At 38.8% G+C, this 27,963-nt stretch overlaps 1 protein-coding gene across 1 annotated transcript, besides 6 other annotated features; it reads right to left on the reverse strand.

Moving 5' to 3' along the window:
• Positions 5,372 to 5,873: an enhancer, noted in NCBI's record as "NANOG hESC enhancer chr4:129186588-129187089 (GRCh37/hg19 assembly coordinates)". NCBI's record gives its function as "activates a minimal SCP1, AML or CMV promoter by ChIP-STARR-seq in naive H9 embryonic stem cells {active_cell/tissue: H9 hESC(naive)}" and the evidence as "EXISTENCE:reporter gene assay evidence [ECO:0000049][PMID:30033119]".
• On the reverse strand, positions 9,181 to 27,752 carry PGRMC2 (progesterone receptor membrane component 2). The gene is made up of 3 exons (NM_006320.6): positions 27,312 to 27,752; positions 12,301 to 12,456; positions 9,181 to 11,352 (listed from the first exon to the last, which is right to left on the reverse strand). The coding sequence occupies exons 1-3, from the start codon at positions 27,727 to 27,729 to the stop codon at positions 11,255 to 11,257; spliced, it is 672 nt and encodes a 223-aa protein (NP_006311.3). The 5' UTR covers positions 27,730 to 27,752; the 3' UTR covers positions 9,181 to 11,254.
• Positions 16,347 to 16,544: a silencer, noted in NCBI's record as "fragment chr4:129197563-129197760 (GRCh37/hg19 assembly coordinates)". NCBI's record gives its function as "represses an EF-1alpha promoter that drives an FKBP-Casp9 reporter gene in an ReSE screen in phorbol 12-myristate 13-acetate-treated (for megakaryocytic differentiation) K562 erythroleukemia cells {active_cell/tissue: K562(+PMA)}" and the evidence as "EXISTENCE:reporter gene assay evidence [ECO:0000049][PMID:32094911]".
• Positions 20,433 to 20,727: a silencer, noted in NCBI's record as "tiled region #13521; HepG2 Repressive non-DNase unmatched - State 16:ElonW". NCBI's record gives its function as "represses a minimal TATA promoter and a strong SV40 promoter by Sharpr-MPRA in HepG2 cells {active_cell/tissue: HepG2}" and the evidence as "EXISTENCE:reporter gene assay evidence [ECO:0000049][PMID:27701403]".
• Positions 27,392 to 27,451: a silencer, noted in NCBI's record as "silent region_15681". NCBI's record gives its function as "represses an Ori minimal core promoter by ATAC-STARR-seq in GM12878 lymphoblastoid cells {active_cell/tissue: GM12878}" and the evidence as "EXISTENCE:reporter gene assay evidence [ECO:0000049][PMID:35858748]".
• Positions 27,632 to 27,681: a silencer, noted in NCBI's record as "silent region_15682". NCBI's record gives its function as "represses an Ori minimal core promoter by ATAC-STARR-seq in GM12878 lymphoblastoid cells {active_cell/tissue: GM12878}" and the evidence as "EXISTENCE:reporter gene assay evidence [ECO:0000049][PMID:35858748]".
• Positions 27,692 to 27,871: a silencer, noted in NCBI's record as "silent region_15683". NCBI's record gives its function as "represses an Ori minimal core promoter by ATAC-STARR-seq in GM12878 lymphoblastoid cells {active_cell/tissue: GM12878}" and the evidence as "EXISTENCE:reporter gene assay evidence [ECO:0000049][PMID:35858748]".

The raw sequence follows: 27,963 nt of genomic DNA on the forward strand, positions 1-27,963 counted from the left end.
TATAGATTCCAGACATTGTATGGAAAAGCACTGTGAAAATCCCTGTCCTGTTCTGTTCTGTTCTGATTACTTGCAGTGAATGCAGCCCCCAGTCACGTACCCGTGGCTTGTGAAAAGCACTGTGAAAATCCCTGTCCTGTTCTGTTCCATTCTGATTACCTGCAGTGCATGCAGCCCTCAGTCACATACCCATGGCCTGCTCAATTGATCACGACCCTCTCACATGGACCCCCTTAGAGTTGTAAGCCCTTAAAAGGGACAGGAATTGCTCACTCGGGGAGCTCGGTTTTTGGAGATGAGAGTCCACCGATGCTCCCAGCTGAATAAAGCCCTTTCCTTCCACAACTCGGTGTCTGAGGGGTTCTTGTCTGTGGCTCGTCCTGCTACATTTCTTGGTTCCCTGACCAGGAAGTGAGGTGATTAGTGGGAGGCCGAGTCAGCCCATTACGCAGCTTAGGCATACCCTGTGGAGCATCCCTGTGGGGGACTCCGGCCAGCTTGAGTGATGCAGATCCTGAGAGCGCTCCCCAGATCCTGAGAGTTCTCCCAGGTAGGCATTTGCCCTGGTGGAATGCCTCATCAGAGCGGTGCATGGCAGGCCCCCGCGGAGGATCAACACAGTGGCTGAACACCGAAAGGAACTGGTACTTGGAGTCTGGACATCTGAAACTTGGTAAGACTGGTCTTTGGAACTTGCTCACTCCATTTGAGTGGAAGTGTAGCCTGATCACCCATGACGTGCCTGTACCGGCACTTTGGTTTTTGTTTTTGACTTGACTTGGATTGCTTGATACTTTGGTTTTGGTTTTGACCTGGCTTGGATTTCTTGATACTCTGTTTTGATTTTGATTCTGGTTTGGTGTAAACTGTAAAAGTGTGTGTGTGCCCTTTTTACCCATTCTTTGTTTTGTGGCGTGTGTGTGGTGTGAGCGTGGTGTTTTGTCTCAAGGAAACATAGGTCAGGCACAAAGTAAGCCCACCCCACTAGGAACTATATTGAAAAATTTCAAAAAGGGATTTAGGGGAGACTATGAAGTTACTATAACACCAGGAAAACTTAGAACTTTGAAATAGACTGGCCAGGATTAGAAGTAGGTTGGCCATCAGAAGGAAACCTGGACAGGTCCCTTGTTTCAAAGGTGTGGCACAAGGTAATCTGTAAGTCAGGGCACCCGGATCAGTTCCCATATATAGATTCCTGGTTACAGCTGGTTTTAGACACCCCCCTCCCACCACAGTGGTTGAGAGAACAGCAGCATAAGCGGCTGGCAGAGGCAAGGAAAGACCAGCAGAGAGACAGAGAGGAAAGACACAGAGAGGAAAAGAGGCAAAGACAGAGAGGAAGAGACAGAGACAAAGAGGGAGTCAAGGAGAGAGAGAGAAAGAGAGAGGCAGAGAGAGGGGAAGAAACAGACGCAAAAGGAAAGTCAAAGAGAGAGAGAGAGAGACAGAAAGTCAGAGAAAGAAAGACAGAAAGAGAGAGATATACAAGTAGTTAAGAAAAAAACAGTGTACCCTATTCCTTTAAAAGCCAAGGTAAATTTAAAACCTATAATTGATAATTAAGGGTATTCTCCGTAACCCTATAACACTCCAATACCACATTGTTGTCAGTGTAAACAAGGGCGTATCCCGAAAGCACTGAGGCCACTAATAACGCATAGCCTTCCTATCAAAAATCCTTAATCCAGTGACCCACGGATGGCCCAAATGCATTCAATCTGTAGCAGCAACTGCTTTGCTAACAGAAGAAAGTAGAAAAATAACTTTTAGAGGAAACCTCATTGTGAGCACACCTCAACAGTTCAGAAGTATCCTTAAAAAAAAAAAAAAAAAAACAAACAAACCAAAACCACACAGCTATCTATACCAATTCTAAGTTAATTTGGACTAAACAAGATCTTATTAATAGCAAAGGATAATTGAAATCCCAAACTTATAAGGTTTTCAACAAAAGTAGAGTTAGCTAAAAGTTAACAGTGTAACATGTATTATAGTAACTTCTAATCTGTGGCCTTAGACAGTGTAGTCCACAGACATAAAGGAAGTTTGCTTTGGAAAAGAATGGTTATCATCTTTCAAAAAAAGGGAAAAAAAGGCGGAGCAGAATTTATGTAAAAAGAATGTTATATGGTAAATTCTTGTCCTGAAATAAATTAACTAGTTGTTTAAAGAAATGTTTGTAATAAGTCAGAAAGTTGAGGCATGTCAAAGAATTGTCTGCGAAAGTTGTGAAAGAGAAAAAAAGTTATAAAAAAATTTATGCAAGAAATATTGTATAATTTAAAAGTAATTAGGCCTCCTGAATGTAAAACTATTAAAAAAAAACAGTTTATGTGCAAGGTATATAAGAAAAGTAAAATATACCTTTGGTAAAGGGATTATAAGGAGGCATAAGAATGTGGAGTTTTACCTACATTAAAAGGTTAAAAAAATTGTTTTGAAGGTTTAAGCAAGTTTTAAAACATTAATTGTAAAGGAAATTCTGTGTGTAAACATATTGGCTAAAGTCAAAGAGGTATCATCCAGTTTTTCTGTGATCTGAACATTAAAATAAAAACACAATGGGTTTTTCTTAAAGCATTAACCTGCTCTTTAACAAAAATTATAAAAGGTTAAAAAGAGTCTATAGAAATCTTACCTTATGGTGAAACATTAAAAACTGAATAAATATGTCTACAAAGTTTTATTAAAACTAAGTTTAACATTAATAACACACTAATATAAAAATGAAATTTAGCTTATCTGGTATAAAAATCATACAGGAAGCATTGTCAAATATAAAATGGTGTTTGGCTTTCTTTGGTCTAAAAACTAATAAAAATAGGTGCTAAAGGAAATTTCTCAGTAGAAAGGCATGAAGGACTACAAAGTCTACTGCTGATGTCCCACATTTAAAACAAAAGGTCAATTTCTTAAAAATTATATACTTGGTTTATCTTCCATTTTCCTTTCCCTCAAAACTAAAAGCCTTTCAGCACATGTACCACCCCTAGAATTTCCGGTAAACCAGCACCAGCCTGAAGATCATGTTCTCATCAAAGGGTGAAAAGAAGGGAAACTCGAGCCAGCCTGGGAAGGACCCTACCTTGTGCTGCTAACCACCGAGGCTGCTGTTCGGACAGCAAAAAAGGGTTGGACTCATCACACCCAAGTCAAGAAAGTGGCACCCCCTCCAGAGTTGTGGGCCATAGTCCCAGGGGAAAACCCTACCAAACTAAAGCTAAGAAAAATGAAACTCTTCAATCTATTCTATTACTCTTTCTTCTTTCCTTGCTCTATTGCTGACCATCTAGTTCTTAACATAACCAAGTCAATTTTGCTTCAAACCATTGCATTTAATGCTTGCCTTGTTATACACTGTGGGCATTCACCAAGTCAAAGACAGCTCTCTACTTCAGAAAATTACCTATGTCCCTCCTGACTCCCCTCAGCTGGGCTTTAGTAAATTAGGACCATTTAATCCAGGGAGATTTCGATAAAGACCCCAGTGTCAACTGGGAGTCCTGCCCCCCAATGTAGAGCTTTTATGCCATAGTTGGCCCAACGTTCTGTGGACCACTAAAGAGCAAGGATAGACTGCCCCAACCATTTTTTGTAATTTCCTAAAATCATACATTCATTTTACTAGAGGATCATAGAAGTTAAAGACTTAAAACAAACTTTGGCAATTAAGACAGGATACCAAGATGTGAATGCCTGGTTGGAATGGATCAAATATTCCGTCTGCACATTAAACAAAAGCAATTGTTATGCTTGTGCACGTGGCAGGCCAGAGGCCCAGACTGTCCCCTTTCCACTAAGGTGGTCCTCCAATCAACCAGGTGTGGGCTGCATGGTAGCTCTTTTCCAGGATTCTACAGCCTGGAGTAATAAGTCATGCCAAGCTCTCTCTGCTATATCCCGAAGTCTGGCACCCTGTGGGTCAGCCCCTGAGGACCATCCAGCTTCCATCTCCCAACACTAAGTTCAGTTTGTGTGTCTCGTGACAAGGAGGAAACTTAGCATTCCTTAGAGACCTAAAGGGATGTAGTGAGCTTAAAAATTTTCAAGAGCTTATCAATCAGTTAGCCCTTGTTCATCCCTGAGGGGATGTGTGGTGGTATTGTGGTGGACCTTTACTGGGCACTCTGCCAAATAACTGGAGTGGCACTTGTGCTTTAGTCCAATTGGCTATCCCTTTCACCCTGGCATTTCATCAACCAGAGGGAGGAAAAATAAGACATCATAAAGTGAGAGAAGCCCCTTATGGGTCTTTCGACTCTCACGTCTATTTAGATGCAATTGGAGTCCATGGGGAATACCAGATCAATTTAAAGCCTGAAATCAAATAGCTGCAGGATTTGAGTCAATATTTTGGTGGGTGACAGTTAATAAAAATGTAGATTGAATAAACTATATCTATTACAACAAACAGCAACGAGCTTTTCATGAGTTAAAACAAAAATTCATGTCGGCCCCAGCCCTGGGACTACCTGACCTGACAAAACATTTTACACTGTATGTGTCAGAGAGAAAAAAAAAAGGCAGTTAGAGTTTTGACCCAGACTGTGGGGCCCTAGCCAAGGCTGGTGGCCTACCCCTCTGAACAACTAGATGGGGTTTCTAAGGATTGGCTCCCGTGTTTGAGGGCCTTGGCAGCAACAGCTCTGCTAGCACAAGAAGCAGATAAGCTAACTCTTGGGCAAAACCTAAACATAAAGGCCCCTCATACTGTGGTGACTTTAATAAATACCAAAGGACATCATTGGCTAACGAATGCTAGACTAACTAAATACCAAAGCTTGCTCTGTGAAAATTCCCGCATAACGGTTGAAGTTTACAACACCCTAAACCCCGCCACCTTGCTCCTGGTATCAGAGAGCCTAGTTAAACATAACTGGGTAGAGGTTTTGGATTCAGTTTATTCTAGCAGGCCCAACCTCTGAGACCATCCTTAAACATTAGTAGACTGGGAGCTTTATGTGGATGGAAGCAGCTTCGCCAACCCCTGCAAAGTGACTCTGAAGAAGACGACAAGCCCTGCTCCAGTCACACCCGGAAGCTAACTGGTCCCCGCATGGCCAAAGAATGAGGAAAGTCATTGCAGGACTCATTTCCCTTAAAATTTGGACTTGTACAGTAAGGACTTCAAATGACCTTCCTCAGACTGAGGACTATTCCCAGTATATACATCAAGTCACTAAGGTGGGACTATCAGGGGAACTAGCCCCCAATATTTCAATGTAGTTCTTTCCTATTTTCCCTAAATGTCGGCTGGTCTGAGAAATAAAAAGAAAGAGCACAAGAGAGAAATTTTACAGCTGGGCCACTGGGGGAGACATCACATATCGGCAGGTTCTGTGATGCCCCCTGAGCCACAAAACCAGCAAGTTTTTATTATGGATTTCAAAAGGGGAGGGGTGTATGAATAGGGAGTGGGTGACAGAGATCACATGCTTCAAAGGCAATAAAATATCACAAAGGCAGAGAGGCAGAGTGAGATCACAAGGCCAGGGTGAAACTAGAATTACTGATGAAGGTCCATGTCCTGCTGGGCACACATTGTCATTGATAAACATCTTAACAGGAAACAGGGTTTGAGAGCAGACAACCAGTCTGACTAGAATTTCACCAGGCTGGAATTGCTGGAATTTCCCAATCCTAACAAGCCTGGGGGCGCTGCAGGAGACCAGGGCATATTTCATCCCTTATCTACAACTGCATAAGACAGACACTCCCAGAGTTGCCATTTTAGAGACCTCCCCCTGGGAATGCACTCGTTTTCCCAGGGTTATTCCTTGCTGAGAAAAGAATTCAGTGATATTTCTCCTATTCGCTTTCTGAAAGAAGAGAAATATGACTCTGTTCTGCTTGGCCCTGCAGGCAGGCAGACTTTATGGTTATCTCCCTTGTTCTCTGAAAATCGCTGTTATCCTGTTTTTTTCAAGGTGCCCAGATTTCATATTGTTCAAACACACATGCTTTACAAGCAATTTGTACAGTTAACGCAATCATCACAGTGTCCTGAGGCGACATACATCCTCAGCCTATGAAGATGACGGGATAAAGAGATTAAAGACAGGCATAGGAAATTATAAGAGTATTGATTGGGGAAGTGATAAATGTCCATGAAATCTTCACAATTTATGTTCAGAGACTGCAGTAAAGACAGGTGTAAGAAATTATAAAAGTATTAATTTGGGGAACTAATAAATGTCCGTGAAATTTTCACAATTTATGTTCTTTTGCCATGGCTTCAGCCAGTCCCTCCATTTGGGGTCCCTGACTTCCCACAACATAGGACAAAAGGTTGCTACAGTCCTATTATTTTATGGTTACCATAAGTGTACAGGGACTCTAAAAGGAACTTGTTTGTATAATGCTGTTCTATACAAGGTATGTAGCCCAGGAAGTGACCAGCCTGATGTGTGCTATAACCCGTCCTTTTTCCTACTGCCCATAAAAACAGGCAAACTTCTAGGCTTCCCAGTCTATGCTTCCCGAGAAAATAGAAGCATAGATATAGGCGACTGGAAAGATGATAAGTGGCCCCCTGAAAGAATCATACAGTAGTATGAGCCTGCTACTTAGGCACAAGATGGCTCGTGGGGATACCGGACCCCAATTTGCATGCTCAACTGAATCATATGGTTACAAACTGTCTTAGAAATAATCACTAATAAAACTGGCAGAGCCTTGACTATTCTGGCCCAGCAAGAAACTCAGATGAGAAATACTATCTATCAAAATAGATGGGCTCTCAACTACTTGCTAGCAGCTGAAGGAGGGGTCTGTAGGAAATTTAACCTTATTAATTGCTGTCTACACATAGATGATCAAGGGCAAGTAGTTTAAGACATAGTTAGAAATGACAAAACTGGCACATGTGCCTGTGCAAGTGTGGCATAGATTTAATCCTGGGGCCATGTTTGGAAAATGGTTCCCAGTGCTAGGAAGATTTAAAACTCTTATAATAGGAGTTATAATAGTAATAGGAACCTGCTTACTGTTCCTTTGTTTGCTACCTGTACTTCAAATGATAAAAAGCTTCATTGCTACCTTAGTTCACCAAAATGCTTCAGCACAAATGTGCTATATGAATCATGACCTGTCTTGCAAGAAGACATGGGTAGTGAGGATGGAAGTGAGAACTCCCACTAATGAGTGAGGTTCTCAATGTGGGGGAATAAGGGAGGAGACCACCCCTCATATTGTCTTATGACCAATTTCTGCCTCAAAGAAAAAGTAGGAGTTAAAGAAAAGAAAGAAGCAAAATCAGTAAGACAGCCCGGCACTGCATTCCAGGTCTGGTAGTTAAAGATTAACCCCTGATCTAACCAGTTATGTTATATCTATAGATTCCAGACATTGTATGGAAAAGCACTGTGAAAATCCCAGTCCTTTTCTGTTCCATTCTGATTACCAGTGCATGCAGCCCCCAGTCACATACTCTTACTGCTTGCTCAGTCGATCACGACCCTCTCACACAGACCCCCTTAGAGTTGTAAGCCCTTAAAAGGGACAGAAATTGCTCACTTGGGGAGCTCGGTTTTTGAGTCCGCCGATGCTCCCAGCTGAATAAAGCCCTTTGCTTCCACAACTTGGTGTCTGAGGGGTTCTTGTCTGCAGCTCATCCTGCTACAGAACTTCCTGCATTTTCATTAAAAACTTTATTATTTGGGAACAATACTATGCAGCCACTAAAATCATGCTTTCAAAGTATTTAAAAGCATATGCAAATATTGGTCTTCTTACACTAAACATCATGATGTGGTTTTCTTGGATCTTGTGTGGATACTGTAAAAGAAAAATTTTAGGAATAAGCCAGTGTTCATAGCATGTCAAATGCTCTCTTGAATGGAGTAATTACAGGCAGCCCAAATGTGCTCTCAGCCACTAGTGGTGGTAGAACAAATGCAAAGCTGGTACTCAAAGTGACTCAGGAGTATGGCAATTTTTCTGTACGTGCTTTTCTAACAGTGCCTAGGAATGATGGTTTTTGCCTAAAAACAGGAAAGTTGGGTCGTCTTTATTGGAGCTTTCTTGCCATAGTCAAATAGAAAATAATCAGTGATGAGTATCATCTAACAAATTGATGGCTGACCTTAATGGAACATACTCAAAAGCTATCTTTTAAGCATTTGCTACTTTAATTAGAACAATTCATTCAGTATCACTGTTACAATATTCCATGACTCTTATTTTCAATATACTCAAAGCAACTTGAAAGTTTTATAAATTCTTTACTACAGTATTACCCGCTTATTCTGACACATAAAAGCTCTGTAGTTACACACTGTTAACATGTTAATGGCACATCTTACTAGCAACTTGCTGCACTTCTGTTATCAATAGAGGTTATGTGAAATACTTGGATAAGGACAGCCTGATTCTGTAGAAAATATCTGTTTTCTATAGAACAAAATATCTCCCAGTGGTAATTCAGCAAATTAGGTTCAAGAATGTGGGTAAAGGTAGGTGTAATGTTGGATTCTGAAGATCTACCTGCAGAAACAGATCTACCTACAGAAAGGCACGTAGAATTACTGTTAGGAAACCTAAGCAGCCTTAGCACCATGGTCAAGGTTTTAAAAACCTGATCTGTAACTGTTATGGGTTCATTTCCTAATGCAGAGAAACTGGCTAGTACACACAGTGTAGATTTAATGTGGGAAATATGACAACTTGGAAATGCTACCCAAAGATAAAAATCTAAAGACTATCAAAATTTGCTGTTTTCTAAAATCATACATTAGAATTTTGTGAAGTCTTCTGAATGACACAAAACCAGATGAAGGGAATCAGACCAAAATTACCTGAGTAAGGCCATTTCAAGTGCCTAACAAAGATGGTCAATATTAACTTGAAAAACCAGTGTTTCCTAAGTGTTCCTGATCAGAATTACCTGAGGTATTCCTTACAAATAAATTCTGAGGCCCATTCTCTTAAAGATTCTGGCTTAGCGGGTGGTACGTCTGGATTGAAGGCTAAGAATCTGTACCTTAAGCAATTCTAATTATCAGGCAAGTTTCGAAAATAGGGCTAAGCAGGAGTGTGTGTGTGTGTGTGTGCATGTGTCTGTCTGTGTGGAGGGGGGAGCGGGGAACAGGAACAAAGGAACAATACCAGCACTGTCTGGTCCCCTCATTCAAATACTGCCTGAAAAACTACCTGAGAATGAGAAACATTCAACTGAAGTTGAGGAATTATCTACAGAACACTGTTTATTTCAAGTCCAAAACACAAATTACTCATTTTTCTTAACAGACCGCATAATTTTTTCTGCATGAATATTTAGGGTTTCTCTATTCACAAGTACAGTTTATTACTAGACTTTAGGCTTGAATGATTCATATATATAGATATCAGTTTACTACAGAGGACATGTACTTTTAACATTTTTTGTTTAGAAAATATTTTACATAAAAACACAAAGCATTTACCAACACTCCACAACCAGTCTTCAGCAAAGATTTGGCTGAAGATAACTTTCTACAAAACACTCCAAGACTGAATAGAATGTAGTATTTTACATACTTTAGCTTATTGTTGCAGTTAAAAGCTCCCCCTTGTTTGATGGCTTCTGCATGTATCTACAAAGCAGAAGTCTTAACTGGTGACCTGTTAAATAACATTGCCTTTTTAAGTGAACTTGTCCCCAGCCCGGAACCTAAGTAGTCATAATGAAATAAAGTAATTGATATATGAGGGGCTTTTAGTAAGGGCTTTTTCAACCTAATAAAATAATAATTTAGTATCTATCAGTGCAATATTCTTTTACTGTTTTGTGTTCAATAACCACCTGGAGTGCTAATTGTCTAGTATAATCAGTTGGCATCAAAATAGAAAGTAAAAAGATGTACATTTAATATACCAATTCTTACCTGAATAATCTTGGATTTCTGGAGAATGTTCCACAAAGTGGAATTTCTTCCTAAAGTTATGCTGAATGTGGTACAATGTGTACAACTTGGTTAACCAGTGCCTGCTTTTCATTTCCAAGATTTTTCCTTATCTTGAATCAAATGCACAATCTTACAACTGTATCATAATGCACTGGCTTACAGTTCTGTATATAAAGTCCAACTCAAGCTTATTTTGGTTTATTGTACATGCTTTATTAAAATGGTACTTGTATTTACAGTATCTGCAGAAAGAGTCCCTTCCAAGGCCTCACACATTCAGACACATCCATACTGACACCCACTCCACAGCCCCATGCACCCACACCAGTGAGATGTGGAGGGTCAGACTCCTAAAATTAGGCAGCTGTTGGGGATAAGAGTTGATTTGTTTTTCAATTTTTTTGAAAACAGAAAAGCATGGGGGAATGCATTTGGCCATTACAATGCTAATTGAGTTTGTGTATATTACATATATGGCAGTTAACACTGTAATATTCCTTTTACATTCTATATACACAGAATGATATCAAGGTTTTATGGTCAACAGAATATTCCAACTTCAGTCTTAATGCTGCTTGTAGTGATTTCTGAATTCATTATAGGGGCTTTCCCTAAAAATAATTCAAGTCTATGTTAAGTGAAATAAGGCACAATTAATATTGATTTGATTTAGGGAAAGGGAAGGAAAGAGAAGGGATAAAAACTGGTTTCAAATGATCTTTCTGTTGGGGAACTAGCTCTGACTTAAACCCACCTGAAATTCCTTCTCCTAATTTCCAAAGATTTCTTTATAAAGATATTTTTCTTTTCCCTGACAAAGCCAAAAAGAAAAGTTTGGGAATTCACATTTTAATGTTTCAGTAGCCTGAACAACTCAAATTGATGTGTACCCCCACCTCCCCTGATCAGGTCGCCTCCCTCACCCATGTTAAAATAAAAACACAGTATGTGACACAGGAGTCCCTTGATGTTTCTTGAGGAGATCTGTACACTTGAGTAGCAAATACATATCTGGTTGTCTTCAATATATTTTAAAAAGAAAGAAAGAGAAAGAAGAAAGGAAAGAAGGAAAAAAGGAAGGAAAGAAGTAATATTGTGACTTTCTTGCTCTTTAAAAAAATCCCTGTCTCCTTCTTTTCAGGATGATGAAGCCCCACTAGACATTACAAACAACTGCAACAAATGAGTTTGGCAGCATAAATAATGTCTAGTTATTCAAATCTTCATAGTGAGATTAATTTATCTTGTACACAATTTGTTGAATGTTTTTCGCAGCAGGTGAATCAAACCCAAAGACTCCGGACAGTCTGTGAAAGGGAGTAAGAATTGCAGTTCTGAAGGCCCCTGACTTTGGTTGTTTACAAAGTTCAATCCTGTTTATTGTGATCCTTGGTATCTTCTTCATCTGTATATTCTGATGGTTCTTCTCCTGGTTTTAGGAGTCTGCCTACATAATCATATTTTTCTGAAAGATACATCAAAAGAAAATCAGTGGTGATCAAATTTGTTTCACTATTCCATTATACAGAGAAAAGGCATTTGTCTGTTTTAGAATCATATAAAATATGATTATTAGAATATTATCTAAATATTCTAAAATTGCTTCACCATGGCTGGTCTTTATACACATGTAAAGCCTGAACAAAAGAAAACAGGATTAGGGAACTTATAAGGCTTGGGAATTCTTTGCAAGAGGGTGTTCTGTACCAGTGATTCTTAGTTGGATACTGCATCAGAATCACTTGGAGATCTTTTTTAAAAATGAGTAAGTCCAGGACCCATCTCAGTACCCAGCTAAACCAGAACAGCTGTTCCAAGGGACCCAGGGGTCAGATAAACAGCTGGGACAGCATCACACAAGTGGTAAAAACTGATGTTATGAGGGCATAAGAAAGGGGAAAGATATTTTTTATCTACATTTCGAGTGTTAAGATCTGTAAAATCATTTTGGAATAAATTATAGTATTGAAATCAGTAATCAACTCAGTTTTAAATATAAGCCTGTATTTTTAAAAAACTAAACCTTAATGAAGAAGCTGACTGTAAGTATCACAATTTTTGAGGCTTAGAATTTGTAACAAGTCATTTTTTTAAATATTGATTTTCAAAATAATTATCACATGTAACAATCATATTTTTATTTAGCTATTTTTTGCAATTTCTTTTTTTGGACAAGTCTCACTATGTTGCCCAGGTTAGTCCTTGAACTCCTGAGCTCAAGGGATTCCCATCAGCAGCTAGGACCACAGGCATGTGCCACTTCACCCAGCTTTAGCTATCTTTAAAAATATTATCAAATAATGATGGCAATGAAAACGGATGACATCCTTAGGCTCTTAAAGCATGTAAAATAGTATATATTTTCTTTGAACAAATATTTAATTTTCCAAAGAATCCAACAAAATAAAAATACCTTTAAACTGCATTTCCCATTCTCGAACACTCTCCATTTGTACTGCATTCAAATCTGAGAGATCATCATATTCATCTCTAAGTGCATCTTTATCTAGGCAAAATGTGGCCAGTCCTCTGGAGGCATCCCTACCAGCAAATATTCCATATGGACCCGCTGGAAAAAAGAAAATAAATTATTTAGATCACCTAACAATATTTTAGAATGTCTCAAAGGAAAAAGTAAAAAAAAAAAAAAAAAAACACAACAAAGAAAAAAACCCCTCATAATTCACATTTGTATATACCCTTAATTTCAAAACATGTACAGATACTAGATGGAATAAGAAAAGAAATTTGTTGGAAATCTGCCTTTTGACCCAAGTAAAGCTTTTCACTTAGATCTTAAAACCCTCAATTTCAATTACTTCAGATATCCCCAAACTTAATATTCAAAATGAAGACTGTGAGGTAATGAGGGAGAAGAAGAAACTTAAGTGGTTAGGTTTAGAAGCCAGTCTGCTTGAGGGGAAATAATGTTTACTGGTTGCTGTTAATAGTGGCATCAAAAAAATAAAAATAATCAACAGAACATCATGTATTATGTAAAGACTCAGCTGAACTTGAATCTGTAACATTTTTCTTTCTGCTATCCTTATGAAGGTTGTAATTCTATGAGAAAAGAGACTGTATCATCTTTGTGGTCCCAGTGACTAGTTCAGTGCTCAACACGCATTTAATAAATCTTTGCTGAGTGGTTTAATAAAAAAAGACCCATATTCAAAATAAATCATCTGACTACCATAATATATATACAATGATCTATATAAACTAGGAAAAGTCATTAAGGAAAATAATAGCTCTTACTTGTCATGACTTTTGGAAAACAGAGGAAGTAGCTATAAGGAATAATTCTTCTGGACTGACACATTAAGCAATAATTAGCATTTTATCCAAGGAATTGGGTACCATTCTCTCTGAGGAGAAATGGCATGACTGATGTGTTGACAAAAACCATTCCCAAGGTTTGTCCTTGAGAACAGCAATTTGTTCATCAATTGAGGATTTGTATCCTCAATGCCTAGCACTGTGCCTGGCATAAAGTAGGAACGTAATAATTTTCTTCCAAATGACTTAGCTGTAGTTCCGAATAAAAAGAAACTCAAGATTCTGTAAACAGATTCACTTATGGTAGGCAAAGACACTATTATGAACAACAACAACAGAGTGGTGAAAAACAGGGCTTATAAATAAAAGAACAAAGTATGTTCTGATAAGTAAACAAGCAGAAAAAACTAGAAATTCCTTGATTTTTAAATGAGCGAAATGATTATATTCATATATAAAAGTATTTAGGAAACTGAAAGTTATGTGTCAAAAAGTCTCTGTACCTTCTGAGAGTAGAAATCGAGGTTTCACTTAAATAGATATCTAAGCATTTATGAGTATTAATTTGAGTTGCTAACAGCACTGTACTATAAAGTTAACCAGATGTGAAATTCATTCTCTGAAAAGTTTACTGCATGGAACTAGAAGTAGCATTAGCAATAATTTTAAGAGTAGCATTCATAGGTATTGATACAGTAACATGAAAGTAAAGCTAACAGTTCCAGTAAAGTACATTTGTATTCTGCTTTTCTTATTCTTATTGCATTTTCCATATTGCTACATCGTATCACATGACTATCAACAATTATTTATCATTGAATGGTTATATATTATCCCACTGAATGGATGTGTACCTGTAATTTATTTAATCAGTCTTATTAACATAGGCTACCATTTTATACTTTCAAATGTGTCTTCTATATAAGAATATGGAACACAATTTACCACTGGCCAATATTCGTAACCTTCAAACTTTTTCTATCATCTCAACTGACATTCAAAAGGGTATTAACCAGGCCAGGTGCGGTGGCTCATGCCTGTAATCCCAACTCTGTGGCAGCAGTGTTGAGGTCAGCAGTTTGAGACCAGCCTGGCCAACATGGTGAAACCTCATCTCTACTAAAACTACAAAAATTAGCCGGCTGTGGTGGCGCACGCCTGTAATCCCAGCTACTCAGGAGTCTGAGGCAGGAGAATTGCTTGAATCCAGGAGACGGAGGTTGCAGTGAGTTGAGATCATGCCACTGCACTACGGCCTGGCCGAGAAAGCAAGACTCCTTCTCCAAAGAAAAAAAAAAAAAAAAAAAAAAGGTATTAACCAGTTATGTCTGTGTGTGTACATGCACATGTGCGTGCAAAATTCTACACACTTTGTGGCAATGGGTGTTTTCAGGAGGACAAGGAGAGAGACAGAGACAGAGAACTAGTGTGTTTAAAAATAAAAATTTCTAAGAAACAATGATAAAAAAAATCTATAAACATTATATTTACCCTTAATGCTGACTAGACCAATGCTTATAAACTTAAAAAAGCAAAAAGTGAAACATACAAAAGGAAAAATAAAACTAATAAAGGCCATAACAATCTACAAATGGAAAATTATAGGTTCAATTTTTAAAAGAATTTTCCAGCAACCTCACTTTTCTCTCTCAGAGTTTCCCAAAGTGGAAGGGACAGACTGCCTTCCCCATTTGGCAGATAAAAAACAGGAGCGGAGGCATTCAGTGTGATTTGCCTAAAATTACTGACAGAACTGAGAGTACTATTTCCACTTTCCTAAATCCTCCAGTGTACCTCAAGAAAACACATAGAAGACTCACAAGCCCAAAGATGGAGTAACGACCATGAAAACTGGAGCATTTTACTACTTACAAAATTTCAAGGGAATGAAAATTTTAGAATACTTATTAAATCAAAATGGAAGAGAATTAACAAAAAAGCTCTACTTAATAGCTTTTCTAAGCATTCTATTATAGTATTTATCTCCATGGCCTGCAAACATTAATCTACTTCAGGCACTTCAGAGTATAAGCCATAAAACACATTTAAATGATACAAAGGAGAGAAGATAAAATCATTATAAAAACAGCAATCAGAAAGCCCTCCATCTTTGAGTATATTAATATATACCAGTGCATTCTCTATTAATTTCTCTACCAACTTCCCTAAGAAAGCTTCAACACTGAATGAATAATAATAATAAAAAATTTCATAAAATATGCTCTTTCTGGGGTACTGGGGGTAGGGAATGATTGACTTGGTAAGAGTGAACTTGAGTCAACAGTTAATAATCCAAGCCAAATTCCAGACAAATGATGTTCTGTTGACTCTTGAATAGAAAAGAATAATTCAGTGATTAACATATTCCCCCACTCCCTAAACTATATTAAGCTGTCTTCTCCATATGTTTAGAATTTCCCTCAGGAAGCATTTAACTTCTGCAAAGGTCTTTTTAGTAATAATTTTCTATGCTCTTTCCTGTAAGACCATTAAAAAAATTTTTTTTGTTGTTTTTTGAGACAGGGTCTTACTCTGTCACCCAGGCTGGAGTACAGCGGCTCAATCATATTTCACTGTGGCCTCTACTTCCTGGGCTCAAGTAATCCTCCTGCCCTAACCTCCCAAATAGCTGGGACTAGAAGCATGGCCCACCAGGCCTGCATAATTTCTTTTATTTTTTGTAGAGACAAGGTCTCCCTATGTTGCCCAGCTGATCTTGAACTCCTGGCCTCAAGCAATCCTCCTGCCTTTGCCTCCCAAAGTGTTAGAATTACAGGCCTAAGCCACCATGCCCAGCCTTCTGTAAGGCCATTAAAGAATATAACATTAGGAACTAAAGTTGGAACTGGATGGGTTATTCTGAGGAAGGATTTGATGTCTAATAAAAGGAGATTTCCCTGCATTCATAATACAACCAGGAGCTTATCTGAAAAGTCAGCAATACCTTCCCATTCCGTTATCCCCTTACATAAAAAACCTAAATATTTACCAATTCTAATATTTGGTAAGTATACTTGGCTATTCATAATACTAAAACAATAGGGAGCTCCCCAAATAAAGCCAATTTGAAATGGTTTAAGTCTGTTGCATGGTATAATTTATTTATTTGTATTAGTATTTTTTTTTGAGACAGAGTCACACTCTGTGGTGTGATCTCAACTCACTGCAACCTCTGCCTCCTAGGTTTAAGTGATTCTCCTGCCTCACTCAGCCTCCCAAGTAGCTGGGATTATTGGGTGTGGCACCACGCCCAGCTAATTTTTATATTTTTGGTAGAGAGGGGGTTTCACCATATATGGTGGACAGGCTGGTCTTGAACTCCTGACCTCAGGTGATCCGCCTACCTCAACCTCCCACAGTGCTGGGATTACAGGCATGAGCCACTGTGCCCAGCCTAATTTATTTTTAAAAAGGCTAGTTTACATGATCTGGTTATTTTTTATTATTAAGGCTCATTTAGACACTAACAGTTCAGTAGTAACTAGAAGAATTAAATTCTGTTGCTTTATCAAATATTAAAATATAATGCTGATCCAAAAACAGCCTCCCAATTTTAAGCAAATTCGTGCTACAAAAAATGAACAGCATTATTCAGTCAAAGCAAATACTCTGAAATATACTTACATAACAAATATTCAAGGACATCATTTTAAAGATAAATTTTATTTCAAAGCTATTGTTAAATATACCAACAAGAGGCAGGCGGATCACGAGGTCAGGAGATCGTGACCATCCTGGCCAACGTGGTGAAACCCAGTATCTACTAAAAAATACAAAAAATTAGTCGGGCATGGTAGTGGGCACCTGTAGTCCCAGCTACTTGGGAGGCTGAGGCAGGAGAATGGCGTGAACCTGGGAGGCAGAGCTTGCAGTGAGCTGAGATCTCGCCACTGCACACCAGCCTAGGCGACAGAGCGAGACTCCATCTCAAAACAAACAAACAAACAAACAAACAAACAAACAAAACAAACCCAACATGAAGTACTATACTAGTCAGAATTCAGATTTCATTTAGTTTTCAGTGTCAATCCAACTTGTGGTCAAGATATTTTAAAGTTCAATAAACCTATTTGTTACCGTATCCTAAAACTGCTTACTTTAATACAATCAGTTAGAATGAGGTGACATATTCTTGAAACAGCAACAACATATGCTCATTGTAAAATGTTTTAAATATTAATTTAATAAACAGAAAATTCCAGGAGGAAGTAAATATGTAGTAACAGATAATTTTGTGATTATTAGGATGATTATATAGCTACCTTAGTGTTTCTAAAGGGATATTTTAATTATTCTCACAGTTTAAAAACCATATCTCTCAGAGATGAACTTTAATTAATTAAAGTTTATCAACAGTGCAGTTTTCAGGCCTGTTTTGACAATAATCTTTTGTGATTATAAATTGAGTAACTAATAACACTTAGTATTGGGTAATTTATTTCAAATAAGATTATAATCAGCCTATCAACAAATGAGGCAATATGTAAAAGTGATTAACTGAACTAATAAATTTTTTTATGCTTAGGTCCAGTAAGTCCCAAGACTTTTAGAGAGAATGCAGTATGGTAAAACTGAAATAATACCTCTCAAGAAGACAGATACTTGGGTTCTAGAGGATCCACTCACAATCAACAAGTCTCGATTTCCATAGTCCTTAGATCCCTCAAATATAAATTAGGAAAATTATTTTACCTGCCTGAAGTTGAGACCAAACTAAATAATCTCTTGAATAGTATGATTCTATAAGTGACTGAAAGTGCAATCTTGCTTCTGAAATTTGAGCTACTGTCAAAAGCGCTCAGCAACATTGTGAACTGAGCATATGGCCTTAACTCCAGGGTGCATGGGTAGGCTGGGGTAAAGAAAAGACAGAAAAATTAAAAGCCCAGGCCCGTGCCACTTATGGGAGTGGGGCCTGAGTTTATGCAACCCATGCAGAATGAAAATTCCAAGGTGAAAAAATAGTATGAACTCAAATATCTATAAGAATTAATGAACACTAAAGATAATACTTCAAGTATTAGGAAAAAGGGATTATTCCCCTGTTGGGGAAACATGTTGGGACAACTAGATAACCTTCTGTTAAAAAACACAACCCCTTGGGAGGCCAAGGCGGGTAGATCACGAGGTCAGGAGTTTGAGACCAACCTGGCCAAGATGGTGAAACCCTGTCTCTTATACTAAAAATATAAAAATTAGCCGGGCACGGTGGTGGGCGCCTGTAATCCCGGTTACTCAAGAGGCTGAGGCAGGAGAATCGCTTGAACCCGGGATACGCAGGTTGCAGTGAGCCGAGATGGCGCCACTGCACTCTAGCCTGGGTGACAGAGCAAGATTCCTTCTCAAAAACAAACAAACACCCACCACCCCACCAAATTTGGACTCTAATTTCACATCTTAAAGCAAAATCAATTTCAAATGGAACTAAAAAACTGAGACCACAGAAGTACTAAAAAAACTACAGATTTTTAAAAACAATTTTAAGTGCATAAAGTCTTTAAATATAATACATAACTTAGCAGCTATAAAAGAAAAGATAAATTTGAATACATAAAACCAAAACTTTGTGTGGTTCAAAAAAACACCATAAATAAGTAAAAGGACAAACTAGAAAAAATATTTGCGGCAAAGGCTGATTTACTTTATAAAGAACACCTAAAATCTGTACGATCAATATGATGATTGAAAAACTGCAGCAGGGCTGGGCGCAGTGGCTCATGCCTGTAATCTCAGCACTTTGGGAGGCTGAGGTGGGCGGATTGCCCGAGGTCAGGAGTTCGAGACCAGACTGACCAACATGGAGAAACCCCGTCTCTACTAAAAATACAAAATTAGCTGGGTGTCGTGGCGCATGCCTGCAATCCCAGCTACTCGGGAGGCTGAGGCAGGAGAATCGCTTGAACCCAGCAGGCAGAGGTTGCAGTGAGCCGAGATTGCATCATTGCACTCCAGCCTGGGCAACAAGAGTGAAACTCTGTCTCAAAAAAAAAAAAAGAGAAAAACTGTGGCAAAGGATATATGAATAAACAATTTGTAGAAAAGGCATCATAAATGACTCAACTTTTTAAAAAGAAGTCCAACCTCATTAAGTAAATGAGAAATGTAAATTTAAACAAATATTGAGATACCATTTTAACCTCTCAAGAGTGACAAAGACCAAGAAGCTTAATACCACGTTTTTGGCAAGAAGTGAGAAACAGGCATTTTCATCAAGTGTAAATTGGTCCAACCTCTCTGAAGGGCAGTTTAGAAACAAGAATCCAAATTAAAAATATCCATACCCCAAGCCTCGGTAATTTTATTTCCAGGAATTTACTTTATAATCATAATTTTACACACATGTGTAAAATGACATGTACATATTTATTGCAGCATCATGCAATAACAGGAGACTGAAAACAAATGTTAACAGTGGACTGTTAAATTATGACTTATTCATAAAATAGAATATTATGCATGTATTCAAAAGAATAAGATGGCTCTCTATACTGATGTCAAAGGCTCTTGTGATATTAAAATATTGTGAAGGGTATGCATAGTATACTATAATTAGTGTGGGGGGAAAGGAAGATATCCACATGCTTGTACTTGCACCCAAAATAGCTCTAGAACAATACGTAGACTGGTGCTTTGCTGCTATGGAAGGGAACATGGTGGCTGGGACTAGTTGTGGGAAGTAGACTTATTTTTCACTGTATATCCTTTTGAATTTTCTATTTTGAGCATGTATTACTTAATTTAAAAAATCATTGTTTTAACTTACGTGAGGCCCTATTTTGCAACATACCCAAAGCACTTTACCTCTTTCACAACTTAGGGCTCATGGAATTTTACAGGAAATACTCCAAAATTAAAAAAAGTAACTACTGAAGATAATAAGTTCACAATAAAAAATATAAACTACATGAAGAAACAAACCATCATGGAGGAGTGGGCACATATAACAGATACAGAAGCAGATTAAAGAACTAAAGTAAATTTGCTTAAAATTATTAAGAAATGGTACAAAAGGAAAGATTAAGAGACATTAAGAATAGAATGAAAACCTAATGTATATCTATTAACAGTTCCAGAGGAAGGAACAGAGATAATGGAAGAGGCAATAAGTAACAGCAAATTTTCTGGGAAAAAAAAAAAAAAAAAAAAAAGGACAATATATCCACAGACTTGAGTAGAGTTTGGTACATGGTAAATAAAATCAAATCCATACCTGGACAAATCCTAGTAAAATAGCAAAACCCCAAAGACAAAAAGATCTCAACTACAACCAAAAGGAAGAAAAAGATTAATAAAAGTAAAGAGAAACTACAAGCCGACTCCTCACCAACAAGTGGAAGACAGTGGCATAACGCTACTCAAGAGTTGAGGTATAATAAGGTCAATTTACATTTTTTTTTGAGACAGGGTCTTGCTCTGTCACCCAGGTTGAGTGCAGTGGTGTTATCAAGGCTCATTGATCTTCTGGGCTCAAGCGATCTTAATACCTCAGACTCTTGAGTAGCTGGGGCCACAGGTGCATGTCACTATGCCTAGCTAATTTTTTATATTTTTGTAAGAGACAGAGTCTCGCCATATTGCCCAGGCTAGTCTTGAACTGCTGGGCTCAAGCAGTCCTCCCACCTTGGTCTCCCAAAAATGGTAGGATTATAGGCATGAGCCACTGCGCCTGGCCCAATCTACAATTTTATATTCTAAACCCAAACTATTATTCCTGAGTGAGGAAAAATAAAAAATTTTTTCCTGCCAGTGAAAAACTATAGGACACACCTCACTAAAATAAAAAGTGAACCCCAAAGAAATGAGATGCAAGAAACAACAGTGAATTAAAAAAATGATAACCATGTTAGTAAATTTAAACAAGGACTATATTAAAAAGATAATAATTTCATCAATTTTGGGGTGGAGTTTGAAAAAACAAAGTGAAGCTAAAGTCTAATAGTGATACTGTGGAAAACAGGATGGGGGAGGAATCAGAGTTAAAGCTTTCTAACCAGGGCCTCAACATATGACTATGTACAACGCAGGGGATACTATCCATATTTGTAGTCATGGCAGTTTTGCTTATTTATTAAGAAATAATCTGTCAAATGTCAGTAAAGTATCTTAAAGAGGCAGCTTTTTCAAATTGACACTAAAATGATGTTTGGCTAAAATTCTTATATTGTTCAGAAGCATAGGATAGTCATCTATAGCAAAAACTTAAGGAAATCACTAAAAGGATAGAAATAGAATACATCCAAATCAGTAGAGGAGAGAAAATGGAAGAAATAAAAAAATCAATCAGAGAAGGAAAAATAGTGGGAAAAGAGGCAAAGAAAAGTAAGGTGAAGAGAAATCACAAAATAAGATGATAGAAATAAACCTAAATATACCCGTAATCACAAAACATATACACTAATTAAGCTATTAAAGGACATAGTGCTAATATTAAATGAAAAAATCCAGCTATATGTCATTAATGTGAGAAAAATAAAACAACACAGATTGACTAAAAGGGATGGAAAATGAAATATTGTGTTAATACTAATCAGATAAAGGCTGAAGTAAAATCTGAAAATCAACAGTGTTAAAGAGGTTTCTAGTATGATCAGTTCTAGATCTACTGCTAGATGGCTTTGCTCGGTATAGAAAGCATAGTAACAATCTCACTTCAGAACATTCTCATACCCAATCTTTGTATGGCTGGCTCTGTTAGGTTTTTGCTTAAATGTCGAGCCCTTTTTCTCGAGAATCTAACATAAAAAAGGTAACCTTGCTTAGCCACTTAATCTAAATAAAGTCCTTTGTTACCCTCTATTCCCATTCTATTAATTTCTTTTATAGCATATTACAGATTATAATTACATACTGAAATCCTTGTTTACTGCCTCTCTTCCTTAATAGACTATTAACTCCATGAGGATAGGAACACATCTGTTTTGAAGACTCAGTTAACTCCATTTCTCATCTCTTAAGCTTTTACTGTAATGAAATCCAGGGAAGTCTTCCTCAGTATTTAAAAATGGAGCTGAAATCCTATTATTAAAGATCCTGAGACTGGATATAGGCTCCAAAAGAATACAGGAGTTATACAGTCATGTCTGTCTTGGGTGCACAGGGAAAGGAGTGGTCTATGTCAGAGTGTTGAAAAAACAATTAAAAGAACTTGAATGGCTAATTCCAGATGTTATTAAATCTACTCCTTTCTTCCACCCTGAATAACAGCTTCTGGTTTCAAGCTATCCTTTTATAATATGCTTTAGGATTTAACACAAATACGATTCCCTCAAAGATTAAAAACAACGGGATGATGTTGAATTCAGAGCCAACTAAGTAGTTATAATAGAAATAACTAGTAGAAATTTGAGCAGAATATAAAAAATCATCAGAAAACCTAGCTAATCCTTTTATCTTACTGGTAGGTAATAGATGCATATGGGCATTAGCCCAAACAACAAAGCCAGTTGGCTTCAAAGCAAGAAGCTGGGATGAGAGGTGGGCAGTGGCAACTTTAGGACATCCATGAAGAAATAGGTAAGATTGGGTCCAGTTTTTATGATGCAACTCTGCAAACACAGAGTTTCCAATTCTGCAAACTAAAGTGTTAAATAAAAGTGAACAAATTGAAGATAAAGTTTAAAATGGAGGAAAAACACTTCAAGGTACATGTGTTCTTTTCCCCAACCTCCTAAATATTAGGCATCTCATGGGGTTCTTCTTACGTGACTTTTTTCTTTCAGTGGAATTTAAAAGGTAAGTTGGAAAAAATATAGCTTTGGTATATGTCAAAGAATACTCCACCTGGAATAAGGGAGCAGCAGTATTGCAAGGTTCAACAACGCAAAATAAACTATCAAAAAGTCAAGTGTATAATTTTTTGCCATTCCAAAAAAATAAAAGCACTGTTTTGGTAAAGTTCCATTGCAGTAATATTAAATAAAATTGTTAAAAATTATACTAGCTGTTTGAGTCTTCAAAACTTATGATTCTGTAAACATGTGAAACTGAATAGACTATGTTGTAATACAATGGGAAGGATTGAAGCTATGAAAATCTGGATTTAATTTTTAGTGTTGCCACCTACTAGATATGTGGCTTTGGGCAATCTCATAGGGCTGTTTGAAAATTAGCGATACTAAGCTCAATAAATGGAGTTTCCTCCTTCTCCTCCTCTGACCTTTAGAATCAGTGTTGTTTTCAACAACTCTCTGGGAAGACAGAAATACTCTAAGAGGTGCCTTGTTAGTGCAGTAGGTGGCACGCCAGTCTCACAATATGAAAATATACAAAGTGCACTGTCCAAAATGGTAGCCATGGTGGGCTCAGCACTTTATATGTGGCTAGTGTTACTAAGGAACTCAATTTTTAATTATATCTAATTTTAATTAATTTACTTTTAATTAGCCACCTGGGGCCACCATTTTGGGCAGTATAACATAAAGCCATAAAAGCATTTTTTTTTTTTTTTTGAGACAGAGTCTCGTTCTGTCATCCAGGCTGGAGTGCAATGGCGAGATCTCAGCTCACTGCAACCTCCACCTCCTAGGTTCAAGTGATTCTCTTGCCTCAGCCTCCCCAGTAGCTGGGATTACAGGCACCCACCATCAAGCTCAGCTAATTTTTTTTTGTATTTTTGTAGAAACAGGGTTTGGCCATGTTGGCCAGGCTGGTCCCGAACTCCTGACCTCAGGTGATCTGCCCGCCTTGGTCTCTCAAAGTGCTGGGATTAAGGCATGAGCCACCGTGCCTGGCCTTTATTTTTTTATTTTTATTTTTTTTTTTTTAGTAGAGATGGGGTTTCACCATGTTGGACAGTCTGGTCTCAAACTCCTGACCTCAAGTGATCCGCTTGCCTCAGCCTCCCAAAGTGCTGGGATTACACGCGTGAGCCACCGTGCCTGGCCGAAAGGCATGTTTTTTTTGAGGCTTTAAATCCTTGGATTTATGGGAACCAGGGAAGAGTATAAAGAAAAACAACAGTAAGATTCTCTACAAGTTTATCACAGGATGCAGTTTACTAGAAATAGTATAGATAAGCTGTGTGGTAATATCCATCTGGATTTATTAGACATACATGTAATCCAAGCCAATTTACCTAAAATACCTAGACCTCAGACTCCCCACCTGTAGAGCAGGAATACTTACCAACTTCACTGAGGAATTATGGAGATAAAAAAATTAATGGATCTGATATTGTGGGTGCTTAACGAATCTGGTTTTCTTTCTCCTCCTGTATTCAGTTTTTTACATGACCAAACTTTCCTCACCTGCTGGCCAAGTGCCTGATCTGTTACTAAATTTAATATTGGCAAATACAGTTAATGCCAACTGTTTGCCAAAATGTGTATACTCCACCAAATTACACTGTCAATATTTAATTAAGAGCCTGAACTTTAAAAATGTATGACTAAAAATAAACACATGTTTAGCATTATGGAAAAATCTCACAAAATTTAATCCTAAAACCATTATTGTGAAATTAGGGTAGATATTGGCTAGGCATAGAAACTAACAATTACTGCTTCTGAATTATTCTGCTACAAAACTGCTTAATTTATGAGGATGAAAATAAAAATTAAAAGCAAAACTGAACTTGTATCTGTTTTATAGCCAGAAATTTGGCTTTAAGATTTTTTGAAAAGTACTACTTATTACATTTTCTATTAATATGCAATATCAACATATTCTAAGCCCATAAAATGATCTGGCTTTCTTTAAGGTTCCTTTCAATAATAAAATATTCAAATATCTGTTATGTTGTTGATCAACTGTAGAATACTAACTGTATATCACTCTTAGGCTGTTCAACAGAACCTAGGAACTGGCAGAAACTAATCTAAAACTGACTTCTCCATTGTAATCTCAAGAGCCTCCCTCAGTGCACATACCATAAAAAAGCAATCTACCACCTATGACTCTTAATTTTTAATTTTTTTTTATACCGAGTCTCTCTCTGTCGCCCAGGCTGGAGTGCAATGGCGCAATCTCGGCTCACTGCAACCCCCACCTCCCGGGTTCCAGCAACTCTCCCTGCCTCCGCCTCCCGAGTAGCTGGGATTACAGGCACCCGCCACCACGTCTAGCTGATTTTCTTGTATTTTTAGTAGAGACGAGGTTTTGTTATATTGGCCAGGCTGGTTTCGAACTCCTGACCTCTGGTGATCCACCCGCCTCGGCCTCCCAAAGCACTGGGATTACAGGCATGAACCACCACGCCTGGCTTTAATTTTTAATTTCTATCACAGAACAAACGTTTGCCACTGGAGGCTGCCAAACTGTTTCTATGACTGTCTCTCTTAGCTATTTTCAGATACTGCCAAGGCATAATGTGTGAGGACTAATACGATTCTTTGTACTAATACTTTGTTTTCTTCAGTGGCAGTTCAGACAGGGTACAAAAGCTGATCTTTTAGCTGGGTAAGGTCTATATTAAAAATTTAAACCTGTACAGGATTTCTAATCACTTAACACATTTTAATACCAATGGGGGAAAAGCTTGAACTAGGTATAAAATGCTGTCTAAATCCTTGATTTAAAAAAAATTTACTTCGCTTGGCCTGTTTAAATACTGTACTTTGGCCCTGTTCTCTTGTCCCACGTGTGCTTAAGTAAACAAAAATGTATTAACCATTTCAGTTGATATAAGTAGGCAGACACCTTGTGTTCACATTTATGTAACCAGAAGCAAAAACTCTGTAAGCTATGTATTTACTTGGTTGGATTAAATGTGTATATATACACAGAAGTACAAACAACTAAGAAATAAATTACATAATTCAACACCAAAAATCTCCTATTTCTTATCCCTATTCCAATGAACAAACTACAAACCAAAGCACTTCTAAAATATCTTCCAGCTATCAAGCACTGAAATCAGAAGTATATATTTTTAAGTGTCAATAAATCTTATACACCTACAGATTAAATTAAGGAGAAAACCAGCTTACTTCCAGACTGCCAACCCTATGACTTTAAGGCTTGGAGGTACTCTCTCCAATAACAGGTCACTTTAGGTCTCTAATTTAATTATTTATTCTTATTGTAGTCACCACTTTTTTTTAAAGCTTAGTATTAATCAGTGCACAACCAGGATGCACAATGTTGCTCAACTGTATGATATACCAACAGGTTCCATGAGTCTGGGGTTTATTAACATAATCCAAAATGTATGCTACAACCACACTGTAAAAAAAGGGCGTCTAAATCAACTACCCTACACAAAGTTCCCTGAAAACAAAGTTCTCTCAAAACAAAGTTCTAAAAATCTTTAACTTGCATAACTGGCACATGGGGGTATAAATCTACAACTCTTCTAAGTTTTTTCTCCTTAGTTCTGCTAAGTGAAAACACAAGTCATTATCAACGTGTACTTGAAAAGAGAAAAAAAAAGAAAAAAGAAACCAGAGACACGCCTGCTGGGTATAGGAGCTCCACCCCCAAAACTCAAGGTGAATATCCTTACCAGTCTTTAATAAGCTCTGCATTCTGGTCTGTTCTCATCCCACATACCTTGTTAATCATGGAAAGCAACTCCGAACTAAAACTGGTTTAAAGAGAGTCCGAGGTGTTGCTTATACGTCTGGACTTCAGAGACTGGAGGGTTGGGACTTTACATGCCCCTAAACGTGGCCTTACGGAGTAATACAGCGAGGGAAAAAAGGAGATCAGTGGCAAAAAAAAAAAAAAAGGGGGCAAGGAAAAGAAAACGGTGAATTACAGAGCCCAAAACTTTAGTTTAGGTCCCAACTTCAGAAATCTCCCTTCCCTGGTGCCCCATCCATCCCAGGAATCAGGAGACTCAAAAAAGGTTAAGGGCCAGCGTTGACCTGTGACAACTAAAACGATTTTGAAAAATCCAGCCAAAGAAACAAAAAAAAAAGGCTGCGAGGAGAAATGGGATGGAAGAAAGATGAATGCTGAGAGCTGGTCTCTGGGGCGCCACCGGGGACCCTGGTTTCGGGGGAAGAACTGGAGGTGCCCGTAGCTGCGGGGGGACGGTGTGTGTGTAGGGGCGGGATGGGCCGTCCCAGGTGCGGCGGCCGAGGCGCGGGGGTCCCGGAGACGAGAAGGCTGGGCAAACTAACCCGGTGCCCAGAGGCCTCCCTGTCCGAAGGGGGTTGTGCTTCAGCTGCAGGGGGTCCTTCCCCTCCCCTTCCAACTCCTCACCCGGGCCGTAGAACTTGCTGCCTTTGGTCACGTCGAAGACTTTCCCATTGACCGCGAGCAGGATGCGCGGGTTGCGGGAGCCGTCGTACTGGCGCAGCTGCTCCAAGCTGAAGTCCCGCTTCTTCATGCGAGGCAGAGAGGTGGCGGGGCTCTCCTCGCCCGCCCCGGCCCCGGCCCCCAGACCCCGCCGCCCCCAGCGCACCCACAGCCGGTAGGCCCCCAGCAGCACCAGAGCCACCAGCGCCACGTTCAGCAGCATTTCCCCGCCCCCCGTCAGAAGCGCCAACGCCGCCGCCGCCCAGCCTCCCCCTTCCGCTGCCGCTCCCGCGTCGCCTGGACTCTCGCTGCCGCCGTCGTTGCTGCTCTCGCTGCCACTCCCCAGGGTGCCTAGCTTCACGTCCCCATCACCAGCCGCCATCACTGCCCGCCAGCGCCTTCCTCCTCCTCCCCGCCCCCTGCCCTCCCCAACCCCACGGCCGGCCCCGCCCATCTGGGGGCCTCTCAGCCAATAACGTGAGAAGAGGGGGCGGGGTCAGGCCGGCTCCTGATTGGGTGTTGACGGGGTAACGTTGTCTCGGATCTCCCGCCCCCTCCCTTCTTTCGCTGGCCGCGCACGCGTGCAACGCCCCGCCCACCTCGCCCCACACTTCCC

The sequence above is a fragment of the Homo sapiens genome, chromosome 4 (genome assembly GCF_000001405.40).
Source record: "Homo sapiens chromosome 4, GRCh38.p14 Primary Assembly".
NCBI lineage: Eukaryota > Metazoa > Chordata > Mammalia > Primates > Hominidae > Homo > Homo sapiens.

Excerpts from the sequence above, each read along its gene's own strand:
- PGRMC2 (NM_006320.6), bottom strand. The coding sequence starts at position 27,729 with ATGGCGGCTGGTGATGGGGACGTGAAGCTAGGCACCCTGGGGAGTGGC. Across the intron at positions 12,457-27,311 it reads CAGCAAGTTCTACGGCCCGG|CGGGTCCATATGGAATATTT; the intron begins GTGAGGAGTTGG and ends TCTTTTTTCCAG. Across the intron at positions 11,353-12,300 it reads ATGGGAAATGCAGTTTAAAG|AAAAATATGATTATGTAGGC; the intron begins GTATTTTTATTT and ends TGTATCTTTCAG.